General features: G+C 40.7%; 1 protein-coding gene and 1 long non-coding RNA gene across 11 annotated transcripts in view; one reads left to right on the top strand and one right to left on the bottom strand.

Moving 5' to 3' along the window:
• The window catches only part of FHIT (fragile histidine triad diadenosine triphosphatase), a 1,504,176-nt gene that overhangs the window by 1,372,472 nt on the left and 120,702 nt on the right, over positions 1-11,002 (top strand). The gene's annotated exons all lie outside the window — the stretch shown is intronic.
• The window catches only part of LOC105377113 (uncharacterized), a 70,563-nt gene that overhangs the window by 42,616 nt on the left and 16,945 nt on the right, over positions 1-11,002 (bottom strand). The gene's annotated exons all lie outside the window — the stretch shown is intronic.

Here is an 11,002-nt window from a genome sequence, read left to right as displayed (position 1 = left end):
CTATGCGAAATAGACAGAAAAAAAGGGTTTACAGTCAGAATGCTTGGGTTTAATCACAGTATAAGATATGAACAAGGGGAGTAAAAAAAATAGCATGCAGAATTGTTGGGAACAGTGAATTAGCTGCCATGGGGATGGGGTTTGGGTGTTTCCTCCTTCTACATTTTAAACTTGCTCTCAAACCCTTTCTCGTTAGCGTCAATATCGAGTAATGAATGTTCTTCTCTAAACGCTCGTCAATAACTATGAGGTGGCCCATCTGGAGGCCTCACTCTTGTGTGATCACACAGTTAATAATGTCTTTATATTGTTTTTCTTGCACTTTCTCTTCGGCTGTGTTCCTCATGCTGTGAAATGTTTAAACTCAGAGCACTTTTGAAAGCTCCTGGCTCTACCTGGTGCTTACAGGGTGAGTGTATTTGAGAAAGAATCCCACTTTGGGGTCAGCATTTCTTTACAATGCGTGAGAGTCAGAAATGGGCTTCTGACCTGCCTCTGAAAATAATAGTTCTCAGTGCAGTGGACAGCTGTTAGTTAGAGCCCATAACAACCTGTGACAAACCCATATTATTGAAACTCAGGTAAGACTGGAGTAAGTACATCCACACAGACACTTGAGGCGGGAAGATGGAGCTCTGGATGTCAAATATGAATTTCTCTTCTGAACTGTCTTATGACTCACACACACACGTGCCTGGAAGTCCAAAGTGTAGTTGGTTTTTAAATGCTTCTGTCAGGTAACCATGGCCTTGGGAAAAATTATATTATGTTTTCATAACTGCAGTGAAATGCAACCACAGAGAGGGGAAATATGCCAAGTACAATCAGTCATTCCTTTTATTATACTAGTTTTTAAAGGGGAGGAAGTGCTCATGGCTGCATTTATATGAGGCAGATTTTTTCTAATAATGGTACAACTATTAACCTAAAATATAACTACTTATTCCTTATTAATTTGGCCTATATGCATTTATTCCAATGAAGAGTTGAAAGTAAGCAGTTAAGGTGAAAACTATGTTTTTGACCATCCTACTAAATCTTTTAACATTTTGTCCAGGTCTGAGTGAGAGCTGTTGCATTTTCTTTCTCATCTGACTCACCATTCATGGTTATCCAACTCATTTGAGGGATAGGGAAATACTTTCTTTCTATTTGTCTGAATATACCAATTTGAATTTGTCATTTTGATGGCTAGTATTCTTATAGGAAACATATGGAGAGATATAAGAAATCATATAGGAATCTCATTTTCTTGGCAGGAGATCCTGTGATATTCCTTATAGCCAGTATTATCTGAATCCCTCTAAAATCTTCATCTTTTTACTTTTTCTTTTGGTATCTGATGATCATAGCCCAAGCCTCTACTCTGCATGTCTGAACATGGTCAATGTCTTAAATGACCTCCTCTCCACTCGTATTTCTGAAGAACCATAGGGCTTGTTTACATGTCCCACAAGCCTGTCCCTCCTGTCACTTGTCACTTTATGCTATGGATCACTGCTCTGGGCCTTCCTGCTTGTTATCTCTTGCTGCTTGCAGCCATATCTTCATGTCGCAGAGGTTGTTCCATGACCACTTTATCCCTGTATGGTCATCAGCACCCACTCAGTTTTCCAAAGGCCCTGTCAACTCTACACAGTCATTTATGACAAACCATTTTTCAATGGCTTTAGGAAAAACCTGAAAGAATTACAATTCTGAACCAGTTAAGTAGAATGATTTTGGCAGCACATTATAGAAATCATGATTCAAAAAGTTCCAATAGTAAGGAGTTTAAGGGTAGGATAGTTCCACCTTTGAGATAATGAATGGTTACATCAGTTGCATAAATGTCATACTCAAGAATATAACATCTTCCCTTCTTTCTACTCTTCAATTTCCCTGCATTGGCTTCTGGCTCAAGGTTAGCACACTTCATGGTCACACAATAACTACAGTAGTATAGCCATCCTATCTAGACCCATTAACAGTTGGAAAAGAATGATTCTCATTTCTTCTTATGTGTCTCTTTTGATGGACAAGGAACTGTTTCACAGATGTCTCCTCAGCTAGCTGAGCATGTGAATGACCGGAATTGTATCATCTTCCTATTCCTATCAGTGGCTTAGGCCAGTTGGGTCAAGGGTAAGATTAGCTTCCCAAGAAGAAGTTGAACAAATGAAAAAGGGTAGCTTCCTCTCAAAATTGGAGTTACGTTAGTGAGGTAAGAAGGGGGAACAGAAAGTAGGTAGACAACCAGCAGTGTCTGATACTAACACAGGAAAGTAAAGCTTAAAGCTGGATTTTACATGTTACTACTCTTACCCCTTAGTGGCAGGAGGTGTTCTCTACTAGTCATTTTGACCTTCACCTGTGTTACCCTGTAGCAGGGGCTTATCTCCCACCAAAGGTATGAGTCCCCTCCACCTCTTCTCTCTTGAAGACTGTTTTGTGCCCTAAGTTGACTGACAATGGAACATTGGTCTCCTTTGAGGGAAGTGCCATCCCCATCCCAACTCCCACAGCAGCAGGGGCTGGGGAGGGGTGCTGCTCCCACACTCCCTCCCTGCCCCTGTCCCAGTGGCCCCAGAAGCCAAATACTTCTCTATAATTCCAGATTATTCTAGTTTAAATAATGTAGCTTATCAAACACCAAAAATCCATACTAGAAGATTTTAAGCCACATGAAATTCACATTGCCATTTAGGAAAAAATAATCTTTTTTAAGATCATAGCTCCCTATTCAGATACCTAATTAATGAATATATATTTATATATGTTTTTTCTGCATATATACATATATATATTTGTGGTAAGATACACATAACATAAAATTTACTATTTTAACCATTTTCAAGAGTACAGTTCAGTGGCATTAAATACAGGCATATGAAACTATAATTACATCTACCAGGTGTCCCCACCTAATAGACCTATGTATATTTGAGTGATGATTCTTTTTGATTTCTGTGTCTCTATACTGGAATAAAGAATCTCTGAAATTTGTAATCTATAAAATTCTTGAACTAAAATCTTTTTTTTTTCTTTTTTTTTTCTTTTTTTATCAAACAGACGAGTTGTTTCTCATCCTGAGGGCATATGTGCTTGGGAAAAACTCTGACATCTTAAGAAATGATGTTACTCATGGCTGACGCATGGCTGGCATATGAATCCATATGAATATGATATATGAATCCATGTCACAGGCCCTCCCTCTTTCCATAATAGAACACTTCCAAAATGGCTTCCCATCTCTTGTTAAGCCATCGTTAGCTCCCTGATAATATTAACCCATGAATAATGGCCTCTAGAATACATTTTTTATTATGATGAAAGGTAAAATTTCCTTTGCTAAAAACTATAAAATTTTCCTTTGCTAAAATTATAAAAAAAAACTTGTAAGCAAAGATATCTAGATGCTCCTGATATCACAAAAATATAAATAGTTACTCTAAAACTTCCCCCTCACTGCACAGGAGGGATTAACAAATCACAGGACATTTTCCCTATTCCCTGAACAAAGATTATAGACCCAGAGAGAGCCCTGGTATCAGACAAGAGTCTTGAGGACGCCAGGCAGGATGGCTTCGCCCACACTTCTCTGGCCTTCCCAAATGATGATGAAGAGGTAAGCTGGGGCAATGTCTTCCCTGGGAGATGGAAACCTAGACATTCAACAGTGAGTAGTAGTTTAGGGGAAACAGCTGGCACCTCTGGCAGTCGCCTCAGAGGTCAACCAGCGTGTAGATTGCTTTCCCTCAGGCTTTGGTGACAGTGACAAAAGAAGCATTCAAAATCATAGGCTGAGTGATTGTTCCCTGGAAGCAAGTCTGAGGCCCCTGCAGACGTGGTTGTCAGTGTTGGATCAAAGCACTCTTCTCCTCTGGACAGGAAACAAAGCAGAAAGAATAAACTGGATGCACCTCCTATCTCCAGAGGTAACTAAAAAGATACACCTGGGAAGGACCACTCTAATAAGGGTTTTTGATGAAATGGATCAGAGTCAAAAAGGGAAGCACTTGCCGAAATAGGAGATGCTTCTAAAAACTCTTGATTTTCCCTTTGGCTTTGCTTTTGAAAAATGGAAGCTGTCTTGTGGGGATTTGGAGAGTGATTGAAGGTGCTGATTAGCAGCTGATGAACTGAAAGGGAGTGCTAGAAGGAATGGAATTGGAGCCCATAGAAGAGCTTGTGGCTCTAAAGGGGAAAACAGCAGGAGGCAAGGTCTGTCTGGTTCTTGCTGCATCCCTAGTGCCTAGCATGGTGCCCAGCACAGGCCAGGGTAAAATCGTTTTCTTCTGACTAACTGGCAAAAAAAAAAAATGAAAAACACAAAACCTAAGCAAGCAGCCGGATGAAGTCTCCTGACCTCCCTCCCTTCTTTCCCAAGCCCACTGTCCTAACCCCGTAATATCGTACGTTTCAGTCTGTGAGGGAATAAGCAGGGAGCAGCGGGCATCTTCTAGATCCCTGGACCAGCAGCATCAGCATCACCTGGGAACTTGGAAATGCAAATTATTGTGCCTCACCCTAGACCTACTAAATCTGCAACTCTGCTGACTGGGGCTCAGTAACCTCCAATTCAGCAAGCACTCCAGGGAATTCTGAAACAGTAAAGCTTGAGAACTACCATGCTAGTCGAAATTATGGATCAATTTTTAACTTTTTTGAACTTTTTAACCAGGTGTCTTGGCATTTCGTGAATACAGCATGAGCCCTTTGCATTAACACATGGCACGAAATTGTTTTTTGGCCAGAGAAGAAGTTGGATCGATGGACTTGAGAGCTTTGAACTTCTTTTTGAGGCATTTGGGGTTAGAATGACGTAGAAGGGGATCTTTGGAACATGAAACTTTTTGAGAAAAGCTGTAAATATTTTTGTGATTCTTTTTTGAGAGGCGAGGATAGCTTATGATCCTCACATTTCCCTGCAGAGCATTTGGGCCAGTTTTACTTCCCAGTACTGCATGTGCTGAAAGAAGAAGAGAGAAGTTGAATCTTTAAAGAGGAGACCGGTTCACCAGAAAAAAAAAAGTGTTGCTTGGAAGCTGAAGGCTTCATACTAATTTGTTGCTTTCCTCTTCAATCTGCATGAGAACAGAGCAAGGTTGCTGTCTCGGGAGATTTAAGCAGGGAACCAATCTAGTTTGTCTTCTAAACTGGAACACATGTGAAAGTGAAAGGGGAGTACTATTAATAATTTCCCTAGGACAGTGGGTGTAAATTGGGCGCCACCCTAGACCAGTGGTTCTCAGTTGGGTTCTTTTCGACTCTTCTCCCCCGGGGCACATTTGGCATTGTCTGGAGGCATGTGTGCTTGTCCCAACTTGAGTGGGGCTGTGTGCCACTAGCATCAAGTAGGTAGAGGCCAGGGATGCTGCTCAACATGCTGTAATACAGAAGACAGCAGCTGCAATAAAGAATTGTCTGGCTCAAAATGTCAATAGTGCTAAGGTCAGAAACCCTTGGCTAGAGGACAGATGGGAGAGTAGGTGACCAGTGAAACAATTAGAATGGGGCTGTGCTGCAGAAGGGCTTGAATGCTGGAATGAACCATTTATGTTAATTGGCCATTCAAGGCTCATGAGCAGGGAAGTGTTTTGTTAGAAGTTGGTTTGTTTCCTGCTGTCTTTAATACCCAGCACAATGTCAGGCATATAGTAAATGATGAGTAAATACATTGTCCATCTACCCATCCATCCATCCAGAAAATATTACCTGAATAGCCACCATGTGCCTGGTAGAGTACTGAGATTTGAATGTGGAGGTAAGCTTTATGAAAGTGATTTTGGCATGGGTTTAAAGGATGGGTTGGAATGGATAATTACTGGAGATGAGGAAACAAGTGAGGGGCACTGTAACTATCCAGAGGTAAAACAGGGAGTGTTTAAGCAAGTGCCAACTCAAAGTGGGTGGAAAGGAAGGAAGGAATTGTGTCAAAAATATCTCTAACCCAGCTATGTGATTTGACCCTTGACTCAGTTCAGGCTGTGAAGGAGATGAAGGTGAGCAGGGCTGCTTCTAGATTTTGAGTCTAGGTAACTGAAAGACTAGTGTTGTCAAAACAAGATCTCTTTTCATGGGAAAATTGATATGTCAACTTTGTACCTACTGAGCCTGATGTGCTGGCTGTACAAGTTGGAGCCCCCAACAAGGAGCTAGGGATGTGGGTCTGGAGCCCAGGGAAGACAGGTTAGTGGGACCCTTGCCCAGAATTCACTTCTGCATCTAAGCTCAGGCTACACAGCTTATCATGTCATCATCACTACAGCTATAGGATAAAGGGTTATCTGCTGAGTCCAAAATCTGTTGCCTTCTTGAGAAAGATATTGAGAAACATCCATAACTCTTCAGAGTTCTTTTTTTAAAAAACTATATATCCATTCAAAATATGACTCTCACTATGCAACCTGGTGGAAAACTCTGCATTTGGCCTCGAAATTCTTCTGTTAATAACAGACATTGTTCTCAGAAAAGGCCATTCCCTCTGGAATTTCAAAGATTCAATTATGCAGTGAATTTTCTCCTTTACCAAAGCCGTTGTCTTCTACTCCTCACATAAACATGAGCACGTGGCATGTTTTAAATAAGTACTGCTGGCTTTGTCTTTGAGTCACCAAGAAGAAAAGCCAGTCCCCACATCAGCCTCATCGCCCTCCTCATGAACTCAGTATGTTGTGAATTCTGCTTTAGGGTTGTTTCTTCCTGTAATTGCCTGAGCCCAGGGCAGCACCTTTTATCTGCTAATCATGAGGTGATGTTTTAGTACTGTGACTCCCAAAATGAAGCCCAAGATCCTAACCTCCTTCTCTATTGCTGTTTTCCTTTCCCCTGCTGAGGACTCCAGTGACTTGAGGAGACCCCCATGAAGGAATGCCTGCATAAAATGGTTAGGGAAAGTACATCAACGGTGGCTTCAGTGACTACTCCCACTCAGCCCCATTTCTGTAATTGATTAGTATAATCTGGAGAGTTTAATCTGAGATACATCTAATCTTTGGAAACTTTGTATCACCTTGGTTTTGCCTGTAATTCCCATGCATTTATCACCGCTGTTTAGATGTGTATTATCTCTGTAACACGTATCACAAATTGACTCTTCTTGTCTTCAGTGCGCAAGAGAAACAGACTTTGCCTCCAAAATGTCAGCTAGTTTCTGTTCTGGGAGGTTACCTCTTTTAAATGTGGATACTTGTGAGAAACAACTCTATGTGGAGTGCTAAAGGATGTGGAAAAGGAAATTAGGCTACCTGGATTGGAATCTATCCAAGGGTATCCAGTGTATCTGGTCTTACCCGGCAGACATTGCTAATCTCTCAAAGACTCTTTACCCACTGAACCCAGACACAGCCTCCAAGTAGCTTCCTGGCTGGCTGTCATTATCAGTTCTTTGGAGTGGGCAAATAAAATGAAACTTTGGTGTTATTCCTGCTAGCCTGTAAAACTTATTATGTGAGCTTAGCCTTGTCACCCAAATACTCTAAGCCCCATTATCCTCATCTGAAAAATGGGGTGGAGGTGGTGGTCTTTGTATGTGTGCGTGTGTGGGGGGGTGGGTAAGGATACTATGTTACAGGATTGTAGTAGGGCTACATTTGTTAACATATAAGAGAGCATTTTGAAAATTGTTGAGATTCTTACAAATATTAGTTATTAATAGCGCACACAGCAAAATTCAGGTTATCTATAAGATCAAAACGTATTTACAATATTGATGCTCTCTGATATTGCTCTCACTGGCTTCAGAAATGTCATTCTGGTGGCTGCAGAGGTGACTTCCTCAGCAGAGTACACACTTCCTTGCCACTATAGGCATAGTATTTGCTACCCTGTATCAAAAAATTATGGAGTAGGCCATTCAAAATGTCGCTGGAGGATCAGTGCCAGTCCTGAAGAAATGCAAGTTGTCAGTCTTGGATAAGAAACTTTATAGCAATTTGAAGTCACCATGACATCCAAGTATATAATTGGTGGCCTTATCCTATTGAACAAGGAGAAGACCAGTTCCAATGTGATCAGACTTGTGTGGCAAGTCACATGTGGTATGAACTATGTAGTAGTCATTTACAGTAGGGTCATGAATCAGACTGCCGTAAATAGAGGTTAAATACACACACACACACACACGCACACACACACACACACGCCCTTTACTATGGATGATTTGAGAAGTATCAATATAGAGGATGCAAATGTGCCTATGTGTGTCTGCTTCTAGCAATAACAGGGAAAATGTTTGGTTTATCAAATAGTACCTAGTGCTTTTGAAATCTGGAATCTTCTCATATTAGAGGCTGGGCTCCCTGGTTTTGATTTTTGACACATGCATGGTACCTTAACAGGAAAGCAACAAGAGATTAGTTATTTGCACCTTGCAGGTTCTTCCTTCCTTATTAATGGGGCTCTCTGCTTTCACAAATTCTCTCTTCTATTAAGACATCTGAGAAAGCAATCACCACTGCCAAAAGGAGCCAGCCCAGTAGGAGTGGGATGGATTAGTTCTTGTCCTTATGAGATACCTTTGTTGTTTTCTTTACTATGATTTTATTTTCTTGACTATTAAGACTCGTTAAGACTGAACTGAGTGAAACAAAACAAAAGGAGGCTAAAAAGAGATTAAAATATGAGACTACCTGAGCTTTTCTATATACAGGGCAAACTAGGTCTGTTGATGAATTTCTTTAAGCTTCAGTTTCCTCACCTGTGACATGGGAATGGGAATCCTTATATTCCGAGTGAAAAGTGAGGGTGACATGAGGTCACACAAGAGTAGTATTTATCACAGAGCCTTGGAGAGACTCGGTGCCTGATGCTCGCGATGCAGGGGTAGAGTATATAGTTAGGAGAAGGCATTTGGTAGTGAAATAGAGGTGGGTTTGATTCCAAGATGTGTCACTTCTCAGCTGTATGACCTTGAGTAAATTCTTTGAACTCTATCTCAGTTTCCCCAGCTATACAATGGAGATGATAATAATTGCTGGTATGAGGATTAATGATAATATAGCTGATGCCAAGAATAGTCAGCACTCAATAAGTAGCAGCTAAAAATTGGAAGCTATGATTATAATTAATTTTACTGCAGAAGAAGAATTCAAATAATCTAGATTTGGGTGACCATAAAGAAGAAAACTAAGAGTAAAATTTCCCTGGAATTACAGTGGGCAGCTTTCATCTGGTAACTTTAAATTAAATGGTATTTTAAAAATGGGTATCCTTCGCCGGTTGTGGTGGCTCACACCTGTAATCCCAGCACTTTGGGAGGCCGAGGTGGGCAGATCATGAGGTCAGGAGGAGCCCATCCTGGCTAACATGATGAAACCCTGTCTCTACTAAAAATACAAAAAAAAAAAAAATTAGCTGGGCGTGGTGGCGGGCACCTGTAGTCCCAGCTACTAGGGAGGCTGAGGCAGGAGAATGGCGTGAACCCGGGAGGCAGAGCTTACAGTATGCCGAGATCGCTCCACTGCACTCCAGCCTGGGCGACAGAGCGAGACTCTGTCTAAAAAAAAAAAAAAAAGGATGTTCTTTAAGGAAAGATGGAATAATGACTAGTACATGAAAATGCAGGCATTCGGTATCAAATACAACTCAGTGAAGGATGGTTTTTTTCTATAATGTGAAGTCTAAATTGGGAAATGTATCACCTACTGAAAAGGTAATGGTTACAGAATTTGGGCAGGATAGAAAGCATAATCTTTGAGACCCTTATGTGTCCTTTATTCTTGGCTCATCTGGTAGAAAGAGCTAAACTAGTTGAGCTTGTTGGTTGAGAAAAACCTATTACTTCTAATCACAAAATCGGTCTGTTAGAAAAGAGGAGCCGTAGTTTCATTTCATAATAAACTTATTTGAAAGGCAGTGGAGTGTTGTTGTTTCTGTCTGCTAGTATAACTTCCAACTCTTTCTGATAATAGTGCTTCATTTTCACTAAATAACCGTTCTCCTACATTTCATATGATTTGGGGTGGTTTACTGGTCATAGTATCCCCCTTTCCAAGCCAACAGGATGGGAATGTAACCAGGCTTGCCTAATTAAGCTACACTGTCCCTTGGCCACAGCGATTGGCCCAAGGAGTAAGCATGTGATCCAAACAGAGTTGATTAGAATCTTTCCCTGGGATTTTATATATGAACAATAGGAAAGAGAATTTTTCTTCTTCTCCTTCTCCTTCTTCAATGTGGGCTCACTGAGCTTGAGTAATTAGACCTACAAATGGTTAAAACCATCTACTTCCTCCTCCAGCCACCACCACCACCCCCTGATGAACAGGAAGTCAGCCCAATACCCAGAGAAGCAAATCGATGGAGAGGGCATCTAAGCATTTTGAATTTCTGAATGCCACTGAGTTCAGGAATAGAACTTGTATTTAATGTTGGTTGGTATTGGAGGCAAGGGTAATATTTGTTTGAGGTTCTGTATTGCTGTCAGAGAAATGCACTGTAAACCACGTGGTACTCAAGGAACATAAACTGACTTGTAACAAAACATGTTGATAGCAGGATGGTGTGATTCAAGACCTCATATTTGCTTTTTATATCAAGGGATGCTTGAGCTAATTTTCTTTTCAGAGTCCATTGATAAGTAGCAATATCTTGTATTACACATTCCCCATTATCATTTTGACATACACTGACAGTCACATGGAGAAAACAATTTTTTTTTTCCGCGTGGAAATGGCACAATACTAATCTTATTCCTTTGTCCTGATTATACTGTGAACAGGAAATGGAACAACGTCAATCTCTCTGCTTTGGGATCCATAAAATGTGTTTGTAGAGAGGACTGGCATTTTGGTGTACTGCAATGCAGAGAAAGAAGGTACACTTGGTGACTGCATTTATGATTTGAGAAAATTTCATTTTTTAAAGATAATGAATTTAGCTCTTCCGCTAGGGCCATGTTCAGTCTTTATTCTGGCAAAACACAATGAAAGGTTTTTTTTTTTTTTTTTTTAAAAAAAAAAAAACATTTCCACAGCAGTAGTTCATTCATTAAGCCCAAAAGAACATTAGCTAAGAGTAA

Source organism: Homo sapiens, chromosome 3 (assembly GCF_000001405.40).
Source record: "Homo sapiens chromosome 3, GRCh38.p14 Primary Assembly".
Lineage (NCBI taxonomy): Eukaryota > Metazoa > Chordata > Mammalia > Primates > Hominidae > Homo > Homo sapiens.
The sequence above is the reverse complement of the archived record's forward strand: the minus strand, read 5'-3'. Positions and strand labels throughout refer to the sequence as shown.